Source organism: Homo sapiens, chromosome 20 (genome assembly GCF_000001405.40).
Source record: "Homo sapiens chromosome 20, GRCh38.p14 Primary Assembly".
NCBI classification, from domain to species: Eukaryota; Metazoa; Chordata; class Mammalia; order Primates; family Hominidae; genus Homo; species Homo sapiens.
This window is the reverse complement of record NC_000020.11, coordinates 32,523,381-32,551,318: the sequence shown is the minus strand read 5'-3', so window position 1 is coordinate 32,551,318 and position 27,938 is coordinate 32,523,381. Positions and strand designations below refer to the sequence as shown.

The 27,938-nt window shown below is 52.5% G+C and overlaps 1 protein-coding gene and 1 long non-coding RNA gene across 4 annotated transcripts in view, besides 9 other annotated features; one reads left to right on the top strand and one right to left on the bottom strand.

Moving 5' to 3' along the window:
* Nucleotides 1–27,938, top strand: part of NOL4L (nucleolar protein 4 like) — a 142,275-nt gene that overhangs the window by 34,015 nt on the left and 80,322 nt on the right. Inside the window, exon 2 of the mRNA NM_001256798.2 lies at nucleotides 23,406–23,561. Coding sequence (NP_001243727.1) covers nucleotides 23,406–23,561 — 156 coding nt within the window. The remainder of the gene's footprint in view (nucleotides 1–23,405; nucleotides 23,562–27,938) is intronic.
* Nucleotides 9,223–9,728: an enhancer, noted in NCBI's record as "H3K4me1 hESC enhancer chr20:31129393-31129898 (GRCh37/hg19 assembly coordinates)". NCBI's record gives its function as "activates a minimal SCP1, AML or CMV promoter by ChIP-STARR-seq in naive H9 embryonic stem cells {active_cell/tissue: H9 hESC(naive)}" and the evidence as "EXISTENCE:reporter gene assay evidence [ECO:0000049][PMID:30033119]".
* LOC105372592 (uncharacterized) lies at nucleotides 9,366–14,726 on the bottom strand. Of its 3 annotated transcripts, none has more exons than XR_007067563.1 (3): nucleotides 14,688–14,726; nucleotides 13,783–13,858; nucleotides 9,366–10,145 (listed from the first exon to the last, which is right to left on the bottom strand). It is a non-coding gene; the product is annotated as an uncharacterized LOC105372592 (long non-coding RNA). The 3 variants fall into 3 exon arrangements; XR_007067562.1 differs by lacking the exon at nucleotides 14,688–14,726 and adding an exon at nucleotides 14,119–14,226; XR_936679.3 differs by lacking the exon at nucleotides 14,688–14,726 and having other exon boundaries at nucleotides 13,783–14,271.
* Nucleotides 9,729–10,234: an enhancer, noted in NCBI's record as "H3K4me1 hESC enhancer chr20:31128887-31129392 (GRCh37/hg19 assembly coordinates)". NCBI's record gives its function as "activates a minimal SCP1, AML or CMV promoter by ChIP-STARR-seq in naive H9 embryonic stem cells {active_cell/tissue: H9 hESC(naive)}" and the evidence as "EXISTENCE:reporter gene assay evidence [ECO:0000049][PMID:30033119]".
* Nucleotides 11,664–12,635: an enhancer, noted in NCBI's record as "H3K4me1 hESC enhancer chr20:31126487-31127458 (GRCh37/hg19 assembly coordinates)". NCBI's record gives its function as "activates a minimal SCP1, AML or CMV promoter by ChIP-STARR-seq in naive and primed H9 embryonic stem cells {active_cell/tissue: H9 hESC(naive and primed)}" and the evidence as "EXISTENCE:reporter gene assay evidence [ECO:0000049][PMID:30033119]".
* Nucleotides 13,607–14,578: an enhancer, noted in NCBI's record as "H3K27ac-H3K4me1 hESC enhancer chr20:31124544-31125515 (GRCh37/hg19 assembly coordinates)". NCBI's record gives its function as "activates a minimal SCP1, AML or CMV promoter by ChIP-STARR-seq in naive and primed H9 embryonic stem cells {active_cell/tissue: H9 hESC(naive and primed)}" and the evidence as "EXISTENCE:reporter gene assay evidence [ECO:0000049][PMID:30033119]".
* Nucleotides 14,219–14,328: a silencer, noted in NCBI's record as "silent region_12792". NCBI's record gives its function as "represses an Ori minimal core promoter by ATAC-STARR-seq in GM12878 lymphoblastoid cells {active_cell/tissue: GM12878}" and the evidence as "EXISTENCE:reporter gene assay evidence [ECO:0000049][PMID:35858748]".
* Nucleotides 14,759–15,138: a silencer, noted in NCBI's record as "silent region_12791". NCBI's record gives its function as "represses an Ori minimal core promoter by ATAC-STARR-seq in GM12878 lymphoblastoid cells {active_cell/tissue: GM12878}" and the evidence as "EXISTENCE:reporter gene assay evidence [ECO:0000049][PMID:35858748]".
* Nucleotides 16,399–16,693: an enhancer, noted in NCBI's record as "tiled region #5058; K562 Activating DNase matched - State 8:EnhW". NCBI's record gives its function as "activates a minimal TATA promoter and a strong SV40 promoter by Sharpr-MPRA in K562 cells {active_cell/tissue: K562}" and the evidence as "EXISTENCE:reporter gene assay evidence [ECO:0000049][PMID:27701403]".
* Nucleotides 22,008–26,788: an enhancer, noted in NCBI's record as "VISTA enhancer hs2225". NCBI's record gives its function as "enhancer in: hindbrain (rhombencephalon)[7/9] | midbrain (mesencephalon)[7/9] | dorsal root ganglion[7/9] | forebrain[7/9] | trigeminal V (ganglion, cranial)[7/9]" and the evidence as "EXISTENCE:transgenic organism evidence [ECO:0001131][PMID:17130149]".
* Nucleotides 23,851–24,024: a silencer, noted in NCBI's record as "fragment chr20:31115098-31115271 (GRCh37/hg19 assembly coordinates)". NCBI's record gives its function as "represses an EF-1alpha promoter that drives an FKBP-Casp9 reporter gene in an ReSE screen in phorbol 12-myristate 13-acetate-treated (for megakaryocytic differentiation) K562 erythroleukemia cells {active_cell/tissue: K562(+PMA)}" and the evidence as "EXISTENCE:reporter gene assay evidence [ECO:0000049][PMID:32094911]".

The window sequence follows — 27,938 nt, the reverse complement described above, 5'->3', positions numbered from 1 at the left end:
CTGCAACCTCCGCCTCCTGGGTTCAAGTGATTCTCCAGCCTTGGCCTCCAAAGTAGCTGGGACTATAGGCACCCACCATCACGCCCGGCTAATTTTTGTATTTTTAGTAGAAATGGGGTTTCACTATGTTGGCCAGGCTGGTCTCGAACTCGTGACCGCAGGTGATCCACCTACCTTGGCCTCCCAAAGTGCCGAGATTACAGGCATGAGCCACCGTGCCTAGCCTAAATTATTATAATACTGTATTATTATTATTATTTTTTGAGATGGAGTCTTGCTCTGTCTCCCAGGCTAGAGTGCAGTGGCACAATCTGGTCTCACTGCAACCTCTGCATCCTGTGTTCAAGTAATTCTTCTGTCTCAGCCTCCCGAGTAGCTGGGATTACAGGCACCCACCACCACGCCTAACTTTTTTGTATTTTTTTTTCTTTTTTTTGAGATGGAGTCTCACCCTGTCGCCCAGGCTGGAGTGCAGTGGTGGCATGATCTTGGCTCACTGCAACCTCTGCCTCCTGGGTTCAAGCGATTCTCCTGCCTCAGCCTCCTGAGTAGCTGGGATTACAGGCACACGCCACCACACCTGGCTAATTTTTGTATTTTTAGTAGAGACGGGGTTTCACCATGATGGTCAGTCTGGTCTCCAACTCCTGACCTCATGATCTGCCCACCTCAGCCTCCCAAAGTGTTGGGATTATAGGCGTGAGCCACTGCGCCCGGCCACTTTTTTGTATTTTTAGTAGAGACGAAGTTTCACCATGTTGACCAGGCTGGTCTTGAACTCCTGACCTCAAGTGATCAGCTCGCCTCGCCCTCCCAAAGTTCTGAGATTATAGGCGTGAGCCACCACGCCTGACCTATAATACTGTATTATTGTTTACTGTACCTTTTGTATGCTTAGATATGTTTAGATATACAAATATTGGCCGGGTGCAGTGGCCCAGCTACTCGGGAGGCCGAGGCCGGAGAATCGCTTGAACCTGGGAGGCAGAGGTTGCAGTGAGCTGAGATCGCACCATTGCACTCCAGCCTGGGCGACAGAGTGAGACTCTGCCTCAAAAAAACAAAAAATCAAATATCATTGTGTTACAATAGTCTACAGTATTCAGTACAATAATAGGCTGTGTCATCTAGGATTGTGTAGATACACTCTATGATGTTCGCACAACGATGCAATCACCTAATGATGCATTTCTCAGAACCTGTCCCATCATTGACACCTGACTGTACTTCATTCCTTTTTATTGCTGATAATATTCCATTGAATGGACATACCACATGTTATTTATTTATTCAACAGTTGATGGACATTTGTGTTGTTTCCACATTTTGGCTATTTTGAATCATGTTGCTATGAACAGTCATGTACAAGTTTTTGTGTTCACCTCTGCTTTTTATTCTCTTCCATGTAGGAGTGGTAAGTCATATGGTAACTCTATGTTTAACCTTTTGAGGAACTACCTGTTTTCCAAATCAGTACATCATTTTACATTCCCACCAGCAGTGCATGAGGGTTGCAATTTCTCTACATTTTTGCCAAAACTTGTTATTTATTTATTTATTTATTTTTGAGACTGAGTCTTGCTCTGTCGCCAGGCTAGAGTGCAATGGCGCGATCTCGGCTCACTGCAATCTCTGCCTCCCTGGTTCAAGTGATTCTCCTGCCTCAGCCTCCTGAGTAGCTGGGATTACAGTAGCGGGCAATCACTCCCGGCTAATTTTTGTATTTTTAGTAGAGACAGGGTTTCACCATGTTGGCCAGGCTGGTCTTGAACTCCTGACCTCAAGTTGCCCACCTGCCTCGGCCTCTCAAAGTGCTAGGATCACAGGCATGAGCCACCATGCCTGGCCAGAACTTGTTATTGGCTGTCTTTTTGATTAGAGCCATCCTAGTGGGTGTGAAGTGACATCTCACCATGGTTTTGATTTGCATTTCCCTGATGGCCGATGATGTTGAGTATCTTTTCATGTGCTTATTGGCCATTTGTATATCTCTATTGAAGAAATATCTATTCAGATCCTTGCCCGTTAAAAAAATTGTATTACTTGTCATTTTACCATTGAGTTTTAAGAATCTTTTCTGTATTCTAGATACAAGTCCCTTATCAGATACATGGTTTGCAAATATTTTACCCCAGTCTGTGAGTTGTCTTTTTGCTTTCTTGATGGTGTCCATTGTAGCATTAATGTTTTTAATTTTAATTAAGTGCAATTTGTCTAATTTTTCTTCTGTTGCTTGAACTTTTGGTGTCATATCTAAGAAGTCATTGCCTAATCCGGGGTCACAAAGATTTATCCCTGTGTTTTCTTCTAAGAGTTTTATAGTTTTAGCTCTTACATTCTTCAGGTTGTTTTTCCCACTAAACAGTAAATCTGTATGCTGTCAGTGCATAAGTATGTTAGAACATAAAGAACTTTCTCCTTCTTTTTTACAGCTGTGTAGTATTCAATTTTATGGATGTACCATAATTTACTTATCCAGTCCCCTGTTAATGGACATTTGGATTGTTTATGATATTCTGCTCTCGCAAGACTTCAGTGAACATCCCTGAATATGGATGGCCATTTCAAGCATGGGCGAGTTTATACCAAGGAGTTGAATTGCTGCGTCTGAGGGCATGTGCTTTTGGAGATGATACAGACTGCCCTCCACAGACAGGGAACCAATTTTCACTCCCGGCAATAATGTCTAGAACGTGAGCCATTCGTGTGATGACCGAGGTTACTGTATATTGAGCATTCAGTGTATGCTGGCACTGTGCATCCCCTCGTAATGACCCTGAAGATCAGAATTAAAATCCCCACTTTACAGAGATCTCAGTTCACATGATCTATCCGACTTCTGATCCTGTTTATTTTTCACCATTTGATTTGGCCCCCATGCCTTGAGAGTGTCTCCGCCCACTTCTGAAATAACTACCAGAAAAATGCAAATTCAGCAGGTGATGCCTGGAGAATCTCTGAGATCATACTTAAGTGTGCAAAAGGCAATTAAGTGTGGAAGCCCAAGGCAGTCAGTTACTAGGGAATCTTGAATGAGCATCTGTTGTATGCCTGCCAGTGAGATGTGGTCTGGTTTAGGGGCTTAGAGGTCTAGCTTTGCAATTTGTCAGGCAAATGTAGGTTCAATCCTGACTCCATCCCACCTGTCTTTGGGCAACTTGCTTCTCCTCTCAGTGCCTAAGTTTCCTCATCTGTAAAACGGTATTGACAATAGTACCTACTGGTACATCAGGAGTGTTTAATACACATTGGCTATTATTGTCCTTGTTGGCAAAGTGTTACAGGAAATTGAAGGCAAGAGACATGTTGGGTTGGGGGTTGGGGGAAGGTCAGGGAAGGATTCCTGGGGAGAGAGAGGACATTTGAATGAAACCACCCAGTTGTGGGCACCCAGTTGTGGGCAGAGGGGACAGTGTGTGTCCAGGCACAGAGGCACGATTGCCCCAGAGCTCATGGGAGGAGAAGCAGCCAGGGAGGCTGGAATGTCAGGTTTGTGCTGGGACCTCTGGGAGGAGGAGACATGGCTGGAGCTGCTTCCAGGGGCCTCAAATCCAGGCATGAGTTTTGGGATGGCATTTGACAGGCAGTACAGAGCCACAGAAGGATTGTTGAGCTTGCAGTCCTGCCCAGCATGTCCCCACCTGCAACTTGGGTGCTTCCTTGGGGCAGGCTTCCCAAACCTCCTTTCTTACTGAGGGACAGCCTAGGACAGTGTTTAAGAATGAGAAAGCCAGGCATGGTGGCTCATGCCTGTAATCCCTGAACTATGGGAGTCTGAGGTGGGAGAATGACTTGAGCCCAGGAGTTCAAGACCAGCCTGGGCAACATGGTGAAAACCTGTCTGTACAAAAAAATACAAAAATTAGCTGGGCATGGTGGCTTGTGCCTGTAGTCCAGCTACTTGGGAGGCTGAGGTGGGAGGATCCCTTGAGCGTGGAAGGTTGAGGCTGCAGTGAGTCATGATTGAGCCACTTCCCTCTGGCCTGGGTGACAGAATGGGATCCTCTCTCAAAAAAGAATGAGAGTTCTGGGGCCAGGCTGCCCGGGCTGGTCTCTAGCTCAGGTGCTTTGTGCTGTGTGACATTGGGCATGTGTGTCACTTTCTTCTCTGGGCCGCAGTTTTCTCCCCCATAAAAGAGAGTTGTCCCAACCTCCTGGGGCTGGAGTGAAGAGTCAGTGAGTTGATATATGTAAAGCACTTAGAGCAGGGTGAGGCACACAGTAAGCACATGGTAAATGTTTGTTGTTACAGAGAAGGAAGGCAGTGGCATCAGATTGTCCTGCCTGTTTCTCAGATGGGAAAATCAAGCCCCTCTGAAAGTTAGTGAATGCCCAAGGTCCCTCTGGAGGACCAGGAGGACTCATTCATCACTTATTCTTTCAGTACACGTTTCCTGGGCACCTACTTTGTGGTCAGCTCTGGCAGATACTGGGGATGCAGTGGTGAACAAGACAGCCTCCATCACAGGGAGCTCCTGACCCAAGGAGTTGAAAGTCAAGACTGCCATTGCCTCCAACACCCATGCTCTCTCCTGTGTCCCACCTATGTCTTGCCCAGGCCAGAAGGGAATTAGAATTACAGCCTTGCCGGGCGCAGTGGCTCACACCTGTAATCCCAGCACTTTGGGAGGCTGAGCCGGGTGGATCACCTGAGTTCGGGAGTTTGAGACCAGCCTGATCATGGAGAAACTCTGTCTCTACTAAAAATACAAAATTAGCCAGGGATGGTGGCAAATGCCTGTAATCCCCTTGGGAGGCTGAGGCAGGAGAATTGCTTGAACCTAGGAGCTGGAGGTTGCTGTGAGCTGAGATCATGCCATTGCATTCCAGCCTAGGCAACAAGAATGAAACTCCATCTCAAAAAATAAATAAATAAAAACATGGAGAAACCCTGTCTCTACTAAAAATACAAAATTAGCTGGGCGTCGTGGTGCATGACTGTAAAAGGAGGCTGAGAAAGGAGAATCACTTGAACCTAGGAGGCGGAGGTTGTGGTGAGCTGAGATCGCGCCATTGCACTCCAGCCTGAGTAACGAGCAAAACTCCATCCCCTCGCCAAAAAAAGGAAAAAAAAGCTGGGCGCACTGGCTCACGCCTGTAATCCCAGCACTTTGGGAGGCCAAGGCCGGCAGGTCATGAGGTCAGGTGTTCAAGACCAGCCTGGCCAGCATGGTGAAACCCCGTCTCTACTAAAAATACAAAAATTAGCCGGGCATGGTGGTGCCTGCCTGTAATCCCAGCTACTGGGAGGCTGAGGCAGGAGAATCGCCTGAACCAAGGAGGCGGAGGTTGCAGTGAGCCAAGATCATGCCACTGCATTCCAGCCTGGGCGACAGAGCAAGACTCTGTCTCCAAAAAAAAAAAAAAAGAAAAGAAAGAAAAAAAAAGAATTACAACCTAAGTGTCTTGTAAACAGGCTCTTCCTAGCTCCAAAATCTGGACACAAGAATAATGGCAATCCAAATATCCTGCTCTAGCCCGCCCTTCTTACAGACAATGGAACTGAGACTCAGCACGCTAGAATAACGGCACATGCCTCTCCCTGCACCTCCAGCCCCTGGGACAGCGGAGAATGCAGCTGCATTCTGGATATAGTTTAAAGGTGGAGCCAACAGAACTTGCTGATGGATGGGATGTGGGCTGTGAGAACCAGTGAGCAGTCAAGGATGCCTTCAGGGTGTTTGGCCTAAGCAAGGGAGATGGAGAAGCCTGCTGGGGGAGGAAGTTTGGTGGTGGTGGCCAGGGCTGTGGGCGGGTCGGGGGAAGGGGGTCTAAATGCTTGCTGGATGAGTGGATGGATGTGTCGCCCTGGCTCTCCAGGGGGCCCTAGACACACACTTGCTTTCAGTCCAGTCGGCTGTCCGGCAGCAGAGGAGAGGCCCATGCTGGAGATGTCAACGTGACATCGCACACGTGTGAGTGGCCCCAAGGTGGACGAAGTTCAAGGACTGGGGCTTGGGGTTGTCAACATTAGGAGGTCCTGTCCAAAGTTCATGTTTTTCTTCTTTCATGAAATGTCCCATTTTTTAAAAATTTTTATTCTTTAGAGACAGGGTCATGCTCTGTCACCCAGGCTGGAGTGTAGTGGCACTATTATAACTCACTGCAGCCTCAAACTCCTGGGCTCAAGCAATCCTCCTGCTTCAGCCTCCTGGGTAGCTGGGACTACAGGCAGGCACCACCATGCCCAGCCCCAACTTTTAAGTATCAGCAACAAACTCAAATTGTAATAAACCTCTGTAGGTTCCCCCAGATACATCCATAGACCCCACTTGGCCTGAGACCTCCTGCTTAGGACCTGTGGTGTGGGTCTGGAGTCACACTGCCTAGATCTGAACCTGGCTGTCAATTCCCAGCTGTGTGCTTTTAGGCAGGTGACTTAGCCTCAGTTTCCTGATCTGTAAAATAGGAATAATAATAGTACTCACCTTTTCGTGTCATAGTATGGGTTCTCTGAGAGTCGTGATGAAAAGCTATTTGTGATGGATTTTACTAGTGACCAAGGCTGTTGATAGCAAAGGGGAACAGTGCACTGGATTTTGAGTTCACCCTGGGGTGGGATCTATCTCTGCCATTGACAAGCCGTGTGACCTGGGGCTGGTTTTAGACCTCTGAGAAAGTGGTTTGTTGCTCTTGGAGTTGGGAGCTGGCCAGGATGCCTGCTGAGGCCTCTGAGCCGCCACTGACCACCCTCCCTCCCTGCCTCTCTCCTTCCAGCCTCGCCCACCTGCCACCTCCCACCCCTTTACCCTGCAGCCAAAATGATCCTTCAAAAGCACAAATCTCAGCATGGTCTTTTCCTGCCTGGAGAAAAATCCTTGTTGGCACCCCACTGCCTTCAGGACAAAGCTGGAGAGCCTTAGCCTGGCGCAGGGAGGTGGGAGGTGGCCCTCACCTCTCTTCTGCTATCTCCTTCCACCAACCCTGCTCAGGTACCAGCTGCACACAGCCCCTCACCACGCCTCAAAGGCCCCATGCCTCTTTGTACCCCTTCCCCCTTCCTTTCTCCACCCGCCCCCTGCCTTCCCATCATCCTTCCAGCAGCTCCTGGGCCCTGCTATACCTTGGGTCTAACCACTTCTCTCCCCCAGTGATCCAACTGCCTCCCCATGGCTTCCCTGCCTCTCTCTCACCCCTTCTTCTCCATAGCCCATTTTCCACGAGCAGTCAGAGGGATCATTTAAAAATATCCTCTGGATGGTGTCACCCGCCTGCTTAAAATCCCTCTATGGCTGCCTGTTTCACGTGAATACAGCCGCCACCCCATCCGTCCCTCCAGCACGTTCAGCATAGCCTCCCCACCATCCTACACACCACTGCCCACGATGCCGGCCGCCTGCCTGCCTGAAGACCTTTGCACAGGCTGTTGGCCTTCAGAGGTGACTTAACATCGCACCTTCAGCAGAGGCTCCCTGTCCACCACCCTTTTCACAGGCACAAATCACTCATTCAGGAGGCAGCCAGGTCTGCCTGTTGACTTTGTAACCACAGTGCCTGACCCTGGTATCTTTTTTTTTTTGTTTTTTTCTGAGACAAGGTCTCCCTCTGTCATCCAGGCTGGAGTGCCGTGGCGAGATCTCGGCTCACTGCAACCTCCACCTCCTGGGTTCAAGTGGTTATTGTGCCTCAGCCTCCCAAGAAGCTGGGACTACAGGTGTGCACCACCACACCCAGTTAATCTTTTTTTTCTTTTTTTTTTTGTGACAGAGTCTCGCTCTGTCATTCAGGCTAGAGTGCAATGGCACGATCTCAGCTCGCTGCAACCTCCTCCTCCTGGGTTCAAGCGATTCTCCTGCCTCAGCCTCCCTAGTTGCTGAGATTACAGGTGCCCACAACCACACCCAGCTAATTTTTGTATTTTTAGTAGAGACAGGGTTTCACCATATTGGTCAGGCTGGTCTCGAACTCCTGACTTCAGTGATCCACCCACCTGGGCCTCCCAAAGTACTGGGATTACAGGCATGAGCCACCGTGCCCAGCCCCAGCTAATTTTTGCATTTTTAGTAGACACGGGGTTTCACCATGTTGGCCAGGCTGGGTATCACCCTTTCTGGTGGCAGAAGTGCCACGCATCCTTCAAGACCCAGCCCAAATGTCACCTCCTCTGTGAAGCCTTCCTTCACGCAGCCCCACTCCTTGCCCTGTTCCTGAGGGCCCTCTGGATCATTCTCTCCTATTGCATCCCCTGATGGCAGAGCCAGCTGAGCTCCGTGGTGGCTTCCCGCGAGCTTTATTCTTTTCCCTTTTCCCCACACTCGACATGGTAATGATCACTAGCTGGCGAGCTCCTCAAGGCAAGAGCACCACAGCAAGAGAGCTCGTGTTTATCGAGAACGGCTGTGTGCTCAGCGCTTTCCTGCATCCTCTAAAATCCTCACAACCCCGTGAGGTCGGTTCTCCTAAAAGCCCCACTTTAAAGAGGAGCCAGTGGAGGTTTAAAGAGGTTAAGTCACGTGCCCAAGGTCACCCTGACACCAGAGCTAGAGCTTGGAATGAATCACGGCAATGACTTATATATAGCACCTTCCACATGCCAGGCACTATTAAGGTGTTTCATCTTCACAAAAACTTTCACTGCAGCTTCATGTTATGGCTGGGGAAACTGAGGCATGGAGAGGTTAAGTAACTTGGTAAGGTTCAAGAGACGAGTCAGAAGTAGAGTAGGGGCTGAGCACAGTGGCTCACACCTGTAATCCCAGCACTTTCAGAGGCTGAGGCGGGAGGATCTCTTGAGCCCAGTAGTTCGAGACCAGCGTGGGCAACACAATGAGACTCTGTCTCTGCAAAAAAATAAAAAGATTAGCCAGGTGTAGTGACACATGCCTATGGTCCAGTTACTTGGGAGGCTGAGGTGGGAGGATTGCTTAAGCCTTGGAGGTCGAGGCTGCAGTGAGCCGTGATCCTGCCACTATACTCCAGTCTGGGTGACACAGCGAGACCCTGTCTCAAAAAAAATTTTTTTAAAAAGAAGTGGAGTAGGATTTGAGCTCAGGCTGTCTGGCTGTTGGTCATCTCTTGGTCATGCTCTCAAATGTCATGCTGTACTGGCCATTGTAGCCTTCTCCCTCTGACCTGCCTGAGCAGCTCTCATTGTCTTGGTGCCCCCGAAACCTGGACTAGCAGCTAGCCCGAGGAGGCACTAGTTAGTGACAGTTTCAGGAATAAGGACACAGGTAAGCCAGTGGATGCGGGACCTTGCCCCAGCCATTCTGAAGCTCTGTGTCCTGAAGCCCAAAGATATGGCCACCTGTCTCCTGGGCTTAGCGCCCCCCACCACCCGCCTGTCCAGACAGCCTCAGGGAAGGACCAGATCCATAAACATGAGGCTCTACTTGGGCTGGGAGGAGTGCTGGGCACTGTACAAGTCCTCAATATTATTGCTTTATTGTCATTTAAATGGAGCCTGCCTCAAACAGGCCACCCAGTTCTAGCCACCAGCTCTGGACAAAACCCCCATTGAAAAGCCAATTACAATCACTCCATCTAAATTGTCATGGATTTGTATAGAAAATTACATCTCCATTTAGTCCTAAAGCGACGTCCTGGGCATGGACAGAGGGGAGGCTGGCCCATTTACCCCGCCAGCTCAGCGCGGGTGCCGCGGGCAGACAGAAAGCCCAAGCTGCTGGGTCTTGGCCGGCCCAGGAACAAAGGCCAGTTTGTGGGGGCCCAGAGAGAAGCTGGGCCTCTGAGGGCAGCTCAGATTCCAGGCCCGGGCCGATGGACCCTGCACCGCCAGCTGGTCTCTCCTGCTGGCGGCTGTGGCCAGACGAGCTCCTGACAGCCGGCTTCAGGCGGCCCATCAGCCCCGCCACCCCCACCACCATCCAAGGTGGCTGGAGCTTGGCTCATGTCCACACTACCAGGAAATGAAACTCAGGGAGCACTTGACTGGGATCCTGAGATCTTGGTTTCATTCATTCACTCACTGACACATTCAGTGCCTGCTAGTAGCATGAGAAAGGCAATAATGTAGAAGTGAGCTCCAGCTTCAGAGTGCCCTGCATTCAGTTCCAGACTCTGTCCTCAGTAGCCATGAGGCCACTTGCTTATTCCTTTAGTTTTGAAATAGTTGTCGAGTGCCTACTGTGTGCCAGAGAACAGGACAAAATGGTCTTCACTCTTGGCCCTTAAAGTCCAGTGCCCTGGGGAAAATAAACAGGGGCTGACACGGGCTAGTATCCCCATTTCACAGAAGTGTAAGTAGGCAGCTCAGAGGAGCTGGGCATGCTATATGCAAGTGAGAAGGGCCTTCTAGCCAGAGGGAATAGTGTGTGTGTGTGTGTGTGTGTGTGTGTGTGTGTGTGTGTAGGGGGTGGCGAGGCAGGCTGGAGCAGCACTGTGGCATGACATGAGATCGGTGGGGCAACCTACAGACTGTGGGCCTCTTCTCTGAGCCTCGGTTTCCTCATCTGAGGAATGGGGGCGATGACCCCAGCTGCTGGGGACTTGGACAAGGGCTCAGGGAGATAATGTGTGCCAGGTGTTCTGCGTGGAGCTGGGCATGGGATGCTTTTGGCTAACCAGGATAGCCTTACTTAGATGACACTGTGGGCCAAACACGGACCGAGGGCTTTCCACACATTCACTCCTAACATTGACAGTCCCATGTGGCAGGGCTAGGATCCCCATCTCACAGATGGGGAAACGGAGGCAACAGCACAGGGCAGCTAATTATTTGTTCCTGTTCCAGTCATTCTGATTATGGGTTAGCCCAGGGCCTCCACAGAGAAGACCCTCAAAAAGGATTTGTTGAATCAGTGAATGCATCTGGAAGGTCGGTGCTGGGCAGGTGTGGGGGCCGGGGAGGAAGATTCCCGTGTACATGTGTGAAGCTGTGTGGAGTGCTGTGGGATTCTGAGCATGGCTGTGGGCCTGCGTGTAATTGTGTGTGAGACTGTCCAAGGACTGCAGATGGTTGCATGTGTGAGGCTATGTCCATGTCTCTGTGACCTTAACTGTGTGTGACAGTCACACATTGTCTCCCTGAGTCCTTGCCCAAATGCCCAGTGGCCACAGTGGCTCTGTCAGACTGACTGTGTGTGTGTGGCTGTGTCAGACTGTGTGTCACGGCCTACACACATCTGTCTGGGCCCAGAGGGACACTTGGCACCCTTCCTGGGATGGCTGGTGGGCCCAGAGGCTACCTCAGGGCAGGACAGGCACGTGCAGAGGCGAAGGGGTCAGAGTCCCCAGCCTCCCCTGCCCAGCCCAGCAGACAGACCGGCAAATGGAAAAAAATGTTCACACCCGAGGCAAGCTGGTGGCTGCCCCACCAGAGACTGCTCTGTGCACAGAAAACAAGTTCTTCTGGTATCAGCTTGGCAGGAAGTGGCTTTTGGGTGGCAGGAAGCTGGATTCAGCTCATATCAGCCCCGGCCGAGGGGCAGGAGAGCAGTTATCTGGGGTTAAACAGAGTTACTGAGAAGTGGAGCCCCCAACACACCATGCCCGATAGAGTTGAGGGCACAGCCTACCCCTGGTGGCCCTTTGGAATGATGGGTGGGCGGTCTTGTAAAGATGAGCCTCAGGCCCCAGACAGAGCTCATTGTCCACCTCTCATTTACTCCCATTTAGAAGATATGCAGACTGAGACTCTGAGAGGCAATGACTTTTCCAAGATCACCAGTTAAGAAGAGAGACAGAAGGGAAAAAGACCGCAAGAAATTTACATCTAGAGACGAAAAAGCCAGGACAGAAGAACAAAGAGAAGAGGAGCGATGGGACAGGATGGAGCTAGGAGTCACATGAATGCAGACAGCAGTGAGGCTGCACCATGGGAAGGCCTGTGTGTGCCCACCATGTGCAAGGTCATCACGTGGACGTCACAGCTGACCTTGAGATCCTGAACCCATTTCCCAAATGAGGGGAGTGAGACTCAGAGAGCCTCACTGGCTGAGTGAGGCCTGGAATCCAGTTCTGATTCCAAAGCCCAGGTTCTCTCACGTCATGCCCCCGTGCCCAACTTCCAGGGAAGGGAAGTGGCTGTTCTAAAACAGACACCCAGTTCCACTAGCTGCTTGCCTGGGTGCTCGATTGAGGAATTCACTCAGCTGGCCCATGGAGAGCCAGGGTTCAAACCTAGGCAGGATGGCTGCAGAACTCACGTGCTTAACCACGTGACAGGGTGTGCCCAGTGCTTTGCTGGAGCAGGCAGAGAAAGCCATGGCCCTGCCCTTGGGCTGGGACCCAGAGGGTCCAGCCACTGGAACAAAGCCCTGCAGCTGGCAAGAAACTGAGTCTCCCAACGCCCAGCCCTAGACACTCTGTGCCGCCCCCCACCCCACCCCACCCCCACTGGAGCCCCTGGGCACTGGGCTCTGGTCCTTCTGCTCTCATCCCAAAAGCAGCTCTCAAGCTGTTCCCTGGCTGAGATGCTGATTTGAAGCTCGGTTTGCATGTCGTTTGCACATTACTCAGTGTATGTCAGAAGGTACGAACATCTCCCTTTCCGGGAGAGGGCTGCCGGGCCCCCCTGCCCTCCTCCAGACAGCAAAAATGCCAGCCGGCTAGACGGGAGCGACGCCCTGGCCTCTGACGGCACCCGCCTGCCGCTGCCTCCCCCATTCCCTCCTGGAGCCAAATTTAGGCAGCTCTGCTACTGAGAGATGGGGAGAGCGGAGGCAGGAAACGGTGAGGTTGGAGGCAGCCTGGCCTTGGCCCTCCCAGAGTGGAGCAGCCCCAGGGGTGCCCCTGTCCCTAAAGCTCTGGGTGCAGTCTCCCCCCACCCCTCCTCTCACTGGAATGCTGGCGGGGTTGGGGAACGCTGGGTTCTCAGCTGCAGCCCAGGGTGCTGGCTACCCCAGCCATGAAGGAGGAGGGAGGGAGGGAGGGAGGGAGGGAGGGAGGGAGGGAGCGAGGGAGGGAGGGAGGAGGTCATGGCCGGGGCAGTGGGGAAGGGATCAGATAGCCTCCTCCTGCCCCAGACACCCGCCGCCACTGGGGACACAGAGCCGGTTCTGCTTCTTGGACACTTCCTGCCCCTCCTTGGTGTGCACCCCCCAACCCTGGGCCTGATTGTGGGTGGGGGGCAGGGGACACAGCCAGGCCTGAGGGGACTGAACCCTCCCTGCCCCCCAAAGGCTCTCCCAGGCCATCTCTGACTCAGGCCAGCCTCGCACCTGAATGGTCTTGGTTCACCTACCTGGGAAATGGAAGGGGTGGCCTAGAATGACTTCCAAGCAGCTGCCTGCACTGACAGTAGGAGCTTTTGGGAGGCCTGACAGAAATGAGGGTTGTGGGCTGGGTGTGGTGGCTCATGCCTGTCATCCCAGCACTTTTGGAGGCCGAGGCAGTGGGATCACTTGAGGCCAGGAGTTCGAGACCAGCCTGGCCAACATAGGGAAACCCTGTCTCTATTAAAACTGCAAAAATTAGCCAGGCATGGTGGTGTGTGTCTGTAATCCCAGCTACTCGGGAGGCTGTAGCAGGAGAATCGCTTGAACCCAGGAGCCGGAGGTTGCAGTGAGCCGAGATGGTGCCATTGCACTCCCTCCTGGGCTACAGAGCAAGATTCCGTCTCCAAAAAAAAAAAAAAAGAAACGCGGGTTGTGGCAGTGGCTTTAGGCCTAGAAACTTCTTCGATTTCTCAGGTATGGCTAGGAGAGGCAGCTACTCACGATGCTGGGACAGAACCTGCGTGGGCTGAACTGAGGAAAGGAAGAAGAGGTGTGTGCTGGATTTCAGCCACCACGAATCCAGGGGTGGGACTAATGGAGCCCAGTAGTTGGTATCCTGGGGTCTGACTCCCTGGATTTGAACCCCAGCTCTGTCACTCTGTACCTTGTGACTGTGGGCAAATCGCTTCAGCTCTTCTGTGCCTTTGCTTCCTCACCCTGGGACAACAGATCTCTCGTTGCTGTTGCGAAAGTGAAACGAGGCCGTGAGTGCTTGGCACACAGTAGGTGCACCGCGACGCCAGCCACCAGTGTGACTGTTTTGTCTCCCAGGACGGTTAGGAGGCCCCGGAGCCACAGCAGATGTGGATGTGGACGCGGTGGGAGGCGCAGTATCTTGGTTGTTAAATGGGCACGGGGATGGGGGGTTCAAGTCTGCGTGACCCTGGGCAAATGGCCACACCCCGCTGCGCCTTGGGCGGGGAGCAGCAGAGGCACTGACCGCGGAGGGTCTGTGAGGACTACGGGAGATCAGGCTTGGCACGGCGCCTGGCACATAGCGGGCGCTCCCTGAAGGAGAGCTGGCAAGATCGAATGGTACCGCCCTGCACAAAGGACAGGTGGGCAGCGTCCCGGGGGGGCGGGGCAGGGCAGGTGCGCCGGGAGCCGGTTGGCGGGGCCGGAAGGGGGACGCGAGGCCGGCGGGCGCGCGCGCAGCAGGTGCGCGTGGGGTGGGCGGGGCCCGCGCGGGCGCGGTCTCCAGGTGAGCGGGCGCGCGCCTAGAGGCTGGAGACAGGGGGAGGCCAGCCGCCCTGGCCCGCCGCAGCCGAGCGTCCCTGTGTCTTTAACGCCCCCGTTCCTGCGTGTCCCCCCCCCGCCCCGTTGGTGCGCCCCCCCCCCCCCACTCCCAGCCGGGCTGCAGCCGCGGAGCCGTCCCCCCTGCACTGACAGCTGGTATCTAATTACTGTGTGAGAATGGAAAGTCAGGCTGTCCCAGCTCCGGGGAGAGGGGATTAACGTCTCCTGCAGAATACACTTCCTCTGGTGGGTTGCCATGGTTACTCTCATTACCTGCCTGCCCGCGAGGAGCCCGCGCGAGCCGCTCCAGCAGGCCCTCCGAACCCAGCCCGGCGCGCGCGCGCCTTCCCGCCCCTCCCCGCCGGGGCGCACGCGCCTGCGCCGTGAAGAGAGCGCGGCCGCCTCGCCCCCGCCCCTGCCCCCCGCCCGAGCAGCTGTCAGCGGCGCGCGCGGCCAGCTCGGCCCCAGCGCGCGCTGTCAACAGTCATTAGCGCGGCCCACTCCCCTCCCCCTCCAGCCCCACCTCTTCCCCCGGCCCTGGGTGGGGCCCGCACCTGGGGCTCTCCGCTCGTTAGCGCGCCCAGGGCGCCTCCTCGGCCCGAGAGGGACCCGCCCGCGGGGCCTGGCTGGCTCAGGGCTACCTCCTTCCGCCTAGGACCCCCCCTTCGGTGACTCCCGATTCCCTGTCCTAGGCTGCGGTGCCCCGGGAGGCGGGTCGCCAGAGTAGCAGACAGAGCTCTTTAATGGGTGTCTTCTAGGGCGGGTGCTGTTTGTGCATCATTTGGGTTCCCACACACTTCCTATGAGGTGGCGAAAGCCATTATGCCTATGGTGTCTGCTCACACAGGGGGAAACTGAGGCCCAGGCAGGACAGCCCCTTGCCTGGGGTGGGGGCTGGGTTGTCCTTAGGCCTGTGACTTCACCTCTACAGCACCCTCCTGTGGACCCTCTCCCTGCCCCCGCCAGGCCAGAGTCCTGCAGCCAGGCCCAGACCCTGGCCTGTCCGTCCGGGGATGCTGGACAGTACTCCTCCCTCCAGCCCTCATAAGTCATTGTCATTCGGATCTGCATTTCCCCAGCCCCTCTCCTTCTAACTGGGGGGCACTGTGGCCCACTGTGCCCCTTTCTCTTCCCATTCCTTCCCCCTACACCCATTCCAGACATCCCAGAGTTAACAAAACCCAAAAGAAAGAGAAAAAAGACTCAGAGCTGCTTGGAGGAGATGACATCCTCAAATGTAGCGCCGTTGTTTGAGGGGCTGGTCCCAGGCACCTTTCTCTGTGGCCTGGGGTGTGCGTTTTGGTCCCCAGCGTGATTTGAAAGAAGATGGAGGTTCAGCGAAGCAGAAAGGAGGTCTTGGAATATGTGAGGCCTGTTCCAGATGGCAGGTGCGACTCGGTGGTGGCGGTGGCGGCGGCAGCTACGCGCTAACAGTTGGAGATTGTGCACAAGGGTGGAGAAGAGGCAGGTGCTATATTGAGTCCTCAGCGCCTTGTTTATGTATTTATTTATTTATGGGGAGAGTGTGGTCCCATCCCTCTGCCCCATCCAGGCCTACGAAGCTCAATGGAACTTTGGGTCCTAAAATTCTGGGGTAAATTCCTATTTTGGAGGGTTTTTTTTTTTTTTTCAATTTCCAGTCCCCAGTAGGTAGTATTCAGAACCGAGAGAAATTAAAATACTGCCTTTGTCCCAGTGAAGCAATACCCTCTCTTCAATCACCTGATTGCCCTTTACAAATTATGACAGCTTCTCTTGGGGATGCTGAAGAGAGGGTTTCTGGGTGTTTGGGTGATGGTCTTCATTCTGGTTTTCTTTTCTTTTTGTTCTCTTAGTTTAGTGTGGTTTTCAATTTCCTCTCCACCTCCTCCTTCCTTTCCCTGTGGGGCCCCTTTGCAGGAGACTGACTCCTCCCCCTTGCTTCTTTTTTCAGCCCCACCAGGAGCTGAAATGAGACTTTACAGGAATCCCCCCAGAAGCTTCTAAAACTCCAGTTCTGGCTGACTTTTTTTTTTTTTTTTTTGAGATGGGGTCTCACTGTGTCACCCAGGCTGGAGTTTAGTGGTACGGTCATGACTCACTGCAGCCTACACCTCCCCAGGCTCAAGTGATCCTCCCACCTCAGCTTCCTGAGTACCTGGGACTACAGTCGAATGCCGCCACGCCCAGCTAGGTTTTTTGCATTTTCTGTAGAGACCTCCTGGCGGCGGGGGGTGGGGGGAGTGGGGGTCACCGTATTGCCCAGGCTGGTCTTGAACTCCTGAGCTCAAGCGATCCTCCCACCTCTGTCTCCCAAAGTGCTGGGATTAGAGGCGTGAGCCATTGCACCCAGCCCTGACTGAATTTATTAAGGCTGGGTTTTGGGGACAGGAGGAATGGCATGATTGCAGAAGTTGGGAAGAGCATGCTAGTAATTAATATGCAGGGTAATTTTTGTCTGTGATCTCAGCCACTTTGATGGCCTGGATGGGATGGAGCGGCATCCTCACATTTGCCTGTGCAATCAGCCCCCTGAAGTCCTGGGCTCCCTCCCACGTGGTAGCCAAAGATTTGCTTCCTTTGGGGTGGGCTCTACTGGCTGACTTTCTCGTCCAATAGCAATCTCGTTGATTTTTATTCCTTGTCAAGAGCTGGATCCGAAATGCACCAGAAGGCCTATCCTAAGGCCTTTCTCTGTGGTTTTTTCTTCTACCATCGGAGAAACCCAGTTGAGAAATGTCTCCGCTATTTAGCCGCATCCTCTCAACCATGGCCTCGTCGTTGCTGGAAGGCACACTCTACTAATATAGTGATGGTGGCACACTAAATGGCACCCTGGTGGCCTAAAACTGTGATCCCACCTTGATAAGTATGTAACTTATTACCAGCAAGTGACTTCGAAGCTCTAATGGAGATGACAGAACTGCAATCCATTAGCAACTGGACCTCACTTCACCATCAGGGGCAGGGGTCCATTTAATTGGCTCATGTGGGGAGACAGGCAAGATTCAGTCCGATTCAGGAGCTCCCTGAGGTCGCCCCGGCAGGAGCCTGTCTAATGGCCTGGTAAGACATGCCGATCCCCCTCTTAGGTCTGCAGCCTGGGAATTAGCATGCTGAGCATTCAGATCCATCTGAGGAAAACGAGGAAGCCAGAAAGGACCTGCCAAGGGATGCCCTGCTTAAGTATTTATTAACTTTGCCAGGGAGGACTTAAAAATCTGATGTCAGGATGCAGGGCGTTCCTGCTCTTTCTATCCATAATCCACATTAAGTCTCTGGGCAGATGTGTTGAATTTATACTAATGTTGCCCAATAAGATTCTTTTGTTCTCACCATTAGGAAAATTGGCCTTCATCGGAAATGAAAATATTAATATATTAGGCCAGGAAGCACAGAGCATGTCTATATTTAATGAGCCAATACCTGTTTTCCTACAGTTACCTCCCTGGCTCAATCATGGAGACATTCTGATCAGCAGTTCTCAAAATCTGTCTTGCATCAGAATCATCTGGGGGGGCCTGTTAAAACCCCCAGCACATCAGATTTGGTAGGTTTAAGGTGGAACCTGAAAATGTGCATTTCTAACAAGTTCCCAGGTGATGCCAATGCTGCTGGTCTAAGGACCATTGCTGTAATATTTTGAAATATCAGATGTATTTAAGTAGACATTTGGTGATTTTGTCAATGACTTGCCACCTAGCTTTTCATTTAGAACCCAAATGGGCTGGTGTTAAGGGAGCTGGTGATGTCCAAGAATGTAGCTCCATAAATGTGTAGGTTTTTTTTGTTTTTGTTTTTGTTTTAGAGATGGGTCTTGCTGTGTTGCCCAGGCTAGACTCAAACCCCTGGGCTCAAGTGGTCTTCCCATCTCAGCATCCTGAGTAGCTGAGACTACAGGCATGCGCCACCATGCCCAGCTTCTCCATAAATTTTTAAAACTATTGCCATGTCTGATTCTGTTGGCCTGGCTCTGGCAGGCTGTTTGGGGGTTGGATGGTTCGAAAGGATGGTGTGTGTTACCATGGCAATGTTCTTCTCCATGCAGGAAGGCCCCAGAGGTTGATCCTACACAAGTGACTGTGTGTTTTTCGTGGTTCTTCCCATGGGGTGATACAGGGTTCCATTCCATTACTCCTGCTAGGTGTTTCCAGGAAGCTGGGATAGGCAGGAGACTCCAAGTCCCTTCTTGATCCAGCCTATAGATAAAGTGAACTTCCTTTGTCAATTCACTGTCCAGTTTGCTTAGGGCAATGGATTAGATGAAGCTAATTTGGGTACCAGGCAGAAGGGGGATGGCAGGGGCTTCCCAAGTCTACAGGGAAGGTGCTTTCTGCTTCCTTTATTAGCAGCTCTTCCCTTGCAGCACTGTCTGGATCCTTAGCTAGGGAAGGCCTGCCTCCCCTGCAGCATTTAGCATGAAGGTTATTACCTCCATGGATGCAAGGGATAGCAGAGATGTCTGCGGCACGTGACTACTGTCGGATCCCTTTGTTGCTGTCTTCTCAGGGTTCTCCTTGAAGGCCACGTAGACATCCTGGCGTTCTTCCCCTAGGGTGTAGCACACATGGAATCCAGGTGGCCCTAGCTCACCAGAGGACAGTTCAAGGTATGGCTCTGCAGCCCTTGCGTGGTTTGAGTTCTGGTCGCTCCAGGCCCTCTCCTTTCCTATGTAAATCTTTGCTGTAGAGATAGGTGGATTACAGGACCCAAATTTGAACATTAAGGGAGAAAGTGATCAATTTTTAAAGAAGGAACTAACTGAAAACTGCTTCCCTGAATAATTTTGCTGGGATTAATTTTATGGTCACATTGGACCAGGTGCAAAGCTGTTGTTTACCAGAGTCAACCTAAGAGGGCAGGTGGGAGGCTGGGAAGAGACAGGCCACATGGGACAGTACGTTTTGCTTTTTTATCTGGGTTGGTCAATTACACTTTGACTTTTGGAAAGCTTATTCCAAGTTTGTGGGAGCCTTAGCATATTATTTAGGAATTAAATAAGACTGTGCATCTCTTCTGATGGTGGGTGTTACTGAGGGGGACACATTTTGTCATGGGTCCCCTCTGGACGCGTCAGAGGGACCAGAGATAAGAGGAGATTCCTAAACACAAAATGTCCAGACTCAGAGGGGTCCAAGGGAAGAGATGAACATTAACCAAGTCTGTATGTGCTGGATGCCTGACATACATTCTTGATCCTTGGAACATCCAACTAGCACTTTTTAGGCCCATTTTATAGGTGCGGAAACTGACTTTCAAGAGGTATAAAAATAGGCCGGGCACAGTGGCTCACACATGTAATCCCAGCACTTTGGGAGGCTGAGGTGGATGGATCACCTGAGGTCAGGAGTTTCAGATCAGCCTGGCCAACATGGTGAAACGCCATCTCTCCTAAAAATACAAAAATTAGCCAGGTGTGGTGGCAGGCGCCTTTAATCCCAGTTACTTGGGAGGCCGAGGCAGGAGAATCGTTTGAACCCAGGAGCCAGAGGTTGCAGTGAGCACTCCAGCCTGATGGCAGAGTGAGACTGTGTTTCAAAAAAAAGAAAAAAAAAAAAGGTATAGAAATAAAGTAACCCACCTAAGGCCCCCACAAGCTGGTTAGGGGGAAATTTCCATCTCACCTACATAAAATATTGTCTCCTCATCAGATTGCTTTCTTTCTCCATTCCTTCCCACAAAATTTTATCTCCTTCCTTTTCCAGAAATATCTGTGTTCTGGTCTGAAACAATTTTGAACAGGGAGGTCTATTGGCCTTTAAGCAGCTAAGCCTCTAGAGCTATGCCTCTGGATTCAGGTGATCCAAATGTGGCTGACTTCACTCTATACTTAAAAATGGTAAAGATGGTACATTCTGCATGGGTATTTTACCTGAATTTAAAAATTCAGTGGAACTACCCCCATGATATCCTTTTTAAAAACTGTTTTTTAAATTAAAGTTTATCAGACATACAGAAATACACAGATTATAAATGTTAAGGTTTTTGTTTTTGTTTTTTTTTTGAGATGGAGTTTCACTCTTGTTGCCCAGGCTAGAGTGCAATGGCGTGATCTCAGCTCACTGCAACCTCTGTCTCCTGGATTCAAGTGATTCTCCTGCCTCAGCCTCCTGAGGAGCTGGGATTACAGGCATGCACCACCACACCCAGCTAATTTTCTATTTTTAGTAGAGACGGGGTTTCTCCATGTTGGTCAGGCTGGTCTCAAACTCCCGACCTCAGGTGATCTGGCTGCCTGGGCCTCCCAAAGTGTTGGGATTACAGTCATGAGCCACCATTCCCGGCCAAGTGTTAAGATTTAATGACTTAATAAATTGAACACACTTCTATAACTACTGCCCAGATCAACAAATAGAAACCCAGCTATATTCATTTTTTTTTTTTTGAGATGGAATCTCGCTCTGTTGCCCAGGCTGGAGTGCGGTGGCGCGATCTCGGCTCACTGCAAGCTCTGCCTCCCGGGTTCACACCATTCTTCTGCCTCAGCCTCCCGAGTAGCCGGGACTACAGGCTCCCGCCACCATGCCCGGCTAATTTTTTGTATTTTTAGTAGAGACAGGGTTTCACCATGTTAGCCAGGATGGTCTCGATCTCCTGACCTCATGATCCACCCGCCTTGGCCTCCCAAAGTGCTGGGATTACAGGCGTGAGCCACCGCGCCCAGCCAAAACCAGCTATATTCATTCTTAAGGTTCATTTTGTTTATTTTCACCAATGTGAACCTCTGGTTAGAAGTGTATTATAACTGTACATCCCAAATCCATATCTTTGCTGAGTAAAAAATTTTTTAAAAGTCTAACTGACCTATCATAATATTTGTCCCATCCCAACCCTGTCATGGCAGTATATGAAGAGCCCTGTAATGCTGGGCATTTACGGGTCAATAGTGAACAAGTTAGTCATTGATCAGCCCGTACAGATGGCCTGAGATGTCGGAGGGGGTGGGATACTCCCCAAAAGAGGTAAAATTGATTCCTGAGAGAGGTTAAGAGCAGAAAAGTCATGGAACTTTACAGCTCATCTCATAAATGAAGCTCGGGGAGGTTGAAGGGTTTGCCCATAATCTCACAGCGAGGAAGCTGGACCAGCAAGTGGCTTCTCCTGTACACACAGAGAGAGAGAGATATGTGCTATCTGAGACGTCCCACTGAAATGGGTTCTGACCAGGAAGGAAGCCACTGGCAAGAGGGCCTTGTTGGGGCCAGTGAGGTCACCTCCCAGGGTTACCACTTAGGGACACTGCCCGCTAGCTGTGGGGCTCGGGACCCCACATCCCAGATGCCCTTTGCCCCCCATCTGCTCTCTGCTCTTGAATGGGCTGCTGGTGAAGAGACACTGCTGTTCGGCCATCATGGTGTGTCGAGAAAGCTACTGGGTGAAACCAAGACCTGTCTGTGCCAGAACGTGTTGTGAGCGAGCGTCACCTCCCAGTGTGGCCTGTATTCTACTTGGACTACAGAGTCCAAGGTCTGAAGCCATCTGTGCCATCCACCAGCCACTGTACCTCAGGCAGGTCCTGACCCTAACAACCTCCGAGGGTTGCCCCGGTGTTCGGCTCTCTCATACCTGGGGGAAACATGGTGAACTGCAAAGCACTTCTTAATAACAATATCTAGCAATCCCTGTACTCCAGGCTCAGTGCCAAGTGCTGCACACACAACTCAGTTCTTCATGGGAAAGGGGCTTCTGTTATCCCCATTTTACAGATAAAGGGCCTGAAGCTCGAAGCACAGTAAGTGCTCGGGGTCACAGGGCCACTTCCATGATGGGGCCGTATTCAAACCATGGCAGAGTGTGTCCAAGTGACCCTGCCCAGCTGCCACTTATGACCACTCAGTCATTCAGTCATTATTTACTGACTACCTACTATGTGTCAGGCACTGTTGTAAGTGCTGGAGAGAGCTGAGAAGGAGCAGGCGAAGCCCACATCCTCTTGTTGCTGACATCCTTGAGTTGGGGTCCTTTGGGGAAGAATTCTCTTGGAGATGTGTCTTTTGGGCACTTTTAGAGAAAAGCCTGCTTCCTTTCCCCTCAAATTCCCTCCATATGGCTTGCTCTTGATCTTCAAAGCCCCCTAACGTCCCCACAGACTCCCCTGAAGGAGCTGGTGGCTGACAGCCTAGTGTCTCTGGGTCTGTGTATCTCCCTTGTGAGGACTGCCTGCACGGAGCAGTTCCCCAGCAGTCCGTTCCCTTCCGGGCCCTGGCCTCACCCCCAGCCTCCTGCCCTGTGGTTTCCCTGCAGCCCCCTTTCCTGCTGGAGGGGAGGGCAGGCGTCAGCCCCACAGCTGTTTGCTATTGAAGGACCCGTCTTGCTCCTGGCACACCTAGTCGGGCCAGCTGACACCACTCAGCCAGCCTGATAAGAGGCTCGGGGCCCACGGCCGCCCCGTTCACACGGCCCTGCCACCTCCTCGTGGCCTCGTGCCTGTTATTCTGTACATCTCCACACACAAAGGGCCCGGGTGCCGTTGCTGGCGCTCAGCTGCTGGAGTGGGGAGGGCAGGCAGCCGCGAAAAGCTTTTCAGAAAGGCCAGGGCGGAGGCAGGAGTCACCCAGGTGATCGGAGCTGTTCCCCCGGGACCCCAGCCCAGGCCCACAGTGAAAGGTTACTGCTAATTGGCGAGCTCCTGATGGGGCCGCATCTATTTAGCACTCCCCCCTCCCCAGAGACTTCCAGGATGGTCTTGGCACAGCGTGTGATTCAAGAGCTCCCCGCCCGAGTCTGGCACAATCTGTCTGAAATTGTGAACATGGAGCCTCTTGGTTTTTTAATTTGTATTTTCGTTGTCGCCGTTCTCTGCCCATTGTTGCTGGTAGATTTCATAGCTGCAGCCACCCTGACTCTGGCGTCCCCCTCCAGGGAGCCCCCTCGGTAGGCTCCCTCCCCTCCCCACCCCAAGACCCACTGTCGGAGGCATTGCCCGTCCTGACCCCTTGCCCCGGCCTCAGGGCCCAGTTCTCACCCCGCCATCATTCCTGACACTAACACAGCTTGTCCACCCTGTCGCAGGGGGCAGATGGCCTGTCGGAGCCAGAGGGCATCTCTCTGAAGCGGGTCGCTGTGGTGGAAGATTTCTTTGACATCATCTACTCGATGCATGTGGAGAGCTCAGCGGAGCCAGGCAAAGCCCCCAAGCACGCTGGGCAGAAGAAAACCTACCGAGCGGTGAGATTTCTGTCTCTTTGCCTCCACTGGCAGCCCCAGGCCTTGGCAGGAGGCCACGGGCTCCGCACATGTTGGGCTTGGGGGGCGGGGCAGGGAGCTGAGGCGTGATGAAACGGCCTTTGGGGATCTAGGGGGGCACAGGGCAAGGGCACGGCAGCCAGAGATGGCTCACAGGGCGAGGGGAGGGAATCTGTGGTCTGAGCACAAAGGAAAAGCAGGTTGAAGGGGGTGAGAGGGAGGGAAGGAGAGGGATGAGGGCAGGAGGCGCCCTCCTCTTCCCCGTTTCTGCTTCACTTGCTCCCACCCGACACCACCCCCAGCCCCTTGCAGCCTGTTCTGGGGCTGGGGTGCTGGGGACAGATAATAATCAGAGGAGCAAATGCCTTCATGGCATGGCATTTACTGCATGCCAGGCCTGTCCTGAGCTCTTCCTATGTGTGAGCTCATCCTGTGAAGTCAGGACTGGGAGTTCCCCAGGGGAAGTCGAAGGACCTGCTCCCCACCCTCCAGGAGATCACAATTGGATTTGGGGTGGGGAGGCTGAGAGCAAAAACAAGATACATGAGAAGCAGAAATGTCTCCAAGGCTCGCTTTGAGAGAGCAAGAACCCAGGCTCAGGGGCATTTAGCACAGGCACCGCCAGACACAGATGAGCCCGGGGGACTGTGTGGAGAAGGTGACACCTGTACTGGCATTCTACGCTTTGGGGAGGCATAAGGGCAAAAAAGGCAACCTAGGGGCAGGAAGCATCACAAATGCCAGGGAGGTGGAAATAGATGGGACTGGCCAGACCAGAGGCCCCTCCTCACCCTGCAGAGGGGCCTGCCTGTGTTCTGATCCATCTCCTGCTGACCCACATGTGGGCCTATCCACAGCTCATACATAGCTCTGAACCATTTGTCCAGTGCCCAGGGAAGCCAGTAAAGCCAAGCCCTTCATGCTCATTCAAGCCTTGATGCAGTCCTGTGACCGAGGCACTGAGGACCCATTTCACAGTTAAGGAAACTGGGACCCAGAGAATTGGGTCACTTGTCCAAGGTCAGACGGCAGCTGAGTTGCAGTCAGCCAGTGTCCTCCATGCCGACTTTCTCTGGAGCTTCTAGAGATATGCCCTTCTGTGGCTGGGCTTCCCCACCCAAGGCAGATGTGAAACTTCCCACCCCAAGTTCTTTGTATAAATAGCTTTGGACTACCGTGGAGGTGGCTGTAAAGTCTATAATTTCCCCTTATGGCCCATCTTTTTTTTTTTTTTTTTAATGCAACCATCCGGTTAGTCCTTGTCCTCAGAAAATGGCTTTTGCCCTAAATGGATTTTAAGGATGGACCCATGTGCCAAGAGCCTCAGAGAGGCAAGGTGTCTGCCCAGGAAGGCAGGAGATGGTGATGGTCTCCCCGCCCCTCCTGCTTCTCGGTCTGTGTGCTTTGGGAAGTGACTTGTGGGAAGGGAGTTCTGAGGGTATTTCCACCAGAGGATCATAGAAGAAGGAAGAGGCACCCAGGCTGGGGCCCACATGGGCCCCTTGGCACTGACAAGACCACATTTTCTCAGCATTAAATTTACCATTGTGGGTGGGGCATGGTGGTTGACACCTATAATCCCAGCGCTTTGGAAGGTTGAGATGGGAGGATTGTTTGAGCTGGAAGTTCAAGACCAACCTGGGCACCATAGCAAGACCCCTTCTCTTAAAAAAAAAAATTGGGGCCAGGCGTGGTGGCTCATGCTTGTAATCCCAGCACTTTGGGAGGCCGAGACAGGCAGATCACTTGAAGCCAGGAGTGTGAGACCAGCCTGGCCAACATGGCAAAACCCTACCTCTATTAAAAATACAAAAATTAGCTGGGCATGGTGGCGCATGCCTATAATCCCAGCTACTTGGGAGGCTGAGGCATGAGAATCACTTGAGCCCAGGAAACAGAGGTTGCAGTGAGCTGGGATCATGCCACTGCACTTCAGCCAGGGTGACAGAGTGAGACTCTGTCTCCAAAAATAAAAATAAAAAATATATTAAAAAATTCAGGCCTAGTGGTGTGTGCCTGTAGTCCTAGCTGATTGGGAGGCTGAGGCAGGAGGATTGCTTGAGGCTGCAGTGAGCTATGATTGTACTACTGCACTCCAGCCTGGGTGACAGAGCAAGACCCTGTCTCAAAAAGAAATAAATAAAATTCACCATTGTGCTGAGCAGTCAGCATGTGCTCTACACCAGCACTTCCTACACATGTATGAAGGTTGCATGCATGAAGCAGGTGCTGTTGTTACCTCCATTTTAAGATGAGAAAACTGAGACTCAGAGAAACACATAACCTGCCTGAGGTCAGTCAGCTGACATTCAGAGCCAGGCCACCCACCCCAGAGCCTGTGCCCTGACCACCACACATCCTGCCTCTCTGCAACCCTCCTGTGGTCAGCTAGTAAGCCCTATGACTTGCTGTTGTCCAGGCGGATGGGCTGGAGCCAGCTGGATCATGTGGTTTCCCTGGCCCCTTCGGTGTCCAGCATCAAGCCTCGTCCACAGGCACTCTTTGGGCGGTTTAGGAAGGCAGGGGTCTGCGGCCTCCATGCTGTGGGGAGGGCAGGGCTGAGCTGGTTCTGCCAGCACTTGCATCCCTGGGCCAAGCGGACATCCAGCCCTTTGCTCTGCACTTCCTGGCTTCTCGTCCATATGCCTGCCGCGTGCCCCACTTCCCGCTGCCCAGCCTGGAGCTGGCACATGACTGGCACTGAGCCAGCTGAGCTGCACACAGAGCTGGAATTTCAGCAGCAGGGCCAAGGCTGAGCTGAGCAGGCCAGGGCCCTCCTGCCGTGGGTGTGAGGCCGAAGGGGCTGGCACACCTCCCTCCTCCCCTACGTGCCTCCTCTCCTTTTCCCCTTCTCCTCCCCATCTGTCACCCTTCTCATGCCACCCTTTTCCTTTTTTGGGGGCAGGGGGTGGTGCCTGGATGCCTTTGTGCCCCTCTTCATCTGCTCCCATTTTCCTCGACCCATACCTAGCTCTTCAGCCCCACTCTGCAGACACGAGGCCCCCACCCATCCATGCCTGTGGAAGGAGCCCCCAAGGAAACCCCTGCTGATGGCTGCAGAGGGGCACAGCCTGGCATCACGGGGTACGCATCAAGCTCCTGGCTGAGGACTTTTTGGATCTATCTCTGTGTTTTGCCAACGCTGAATCCTCAGACTGCCTGACAGTCTCTAGGGCACAGGGCCCCTCTGGATTTTTCCAGGCCTAGGAGGGTACTATAGGAGTTAGGACTGGCAGGGCGGTGGCAGACTTTTTCAGTGCACTAAATGAGGCGTGTTATTTGGTAGGGAAAAGAGCTTTCTGGCATCTACTGCTGTCCACCCGTGGATCAGATAGGGCAGGCAATGAGCTTTCTGAAACTGGAGGTATTCGAGCTGGAGTTAGATGGCCATGTGCAATGGATAATGCAGGGATTCCCATTTCGAGTAGGAAGTCCCTGTCTCACTTAGCTTCTCAGTGTGACCTGAGGTGCAGAGGATCTCGGAGGTCTCTCCAGCACCAGGGTTTGAGGAAGGCTCCAGCTGGTTCTACAGAGTTTCCTGAACTCACACAGAGGGCTAGTCCTTTTTCCAAGGGGCCTTCCTGCTTTTCTGATTTCTGCACCCTTCTGGGTTGGAACAAGCCCTTTTGCTTCCTTTTTCCCTCCCAGGGTGCTGGTAGGTCAGATCGGGTTCCACAGTCCGGATCTAGCTGCCCAGGCCACTTTGGAGTTGGGGCCAGATGTGGTCAGCAGCTGCTCCAGGCCCACCACGTGCTAATCCACCCTCAGGGCAGAAGGAGGATCTTGTAAAGTGGTGCAAATCCCCCCAATTGGCCTCATCTGTCTTTGTTGGCCTCTGAGTTGGGGAGTGAAATGGGGCCTTGCAAGTCAGCGACTCTGCAAATAGCTCCTGCTCTCTCTGCCAGTGAAGTCCCTGTTTTTTACCACCAGGAAAAATGTGAAAGGCAAATTCACATACGGGACTCAGTGTCCAGGCAGGAGGCCCGGGGAGCAAGGCAGCAGGCAGCCCAGGGCAGCGGAGGGCAGTTGGGCAGGGACAAGGGTCCTGGAACTTCCCCTCCTTAGACACAGCAGCTCTGTCTTTATCTGTTTCATGTTTTGGGCTTCAGTGTATGAGTCTATTTCTAGAACAGGGTCTGCAGCTTAAATCTAAAACCATCTGAAAACCACCATCCTATTAACTAGAGCATCTGCTAGGATTGTCCTCCTGGTTTCGACTCATTCTGTGGTCCTGTGGCCTTGGGCATTCGTGCACTCAATCAGAAATGGAGGTCCCATTTCTGGTCCCAGGCAAGCCAGGAAGATGAATCAGAAGATGCCTGCTGAAGGTTGCAGGGGGAGGGTTTGTCATCCTCTATA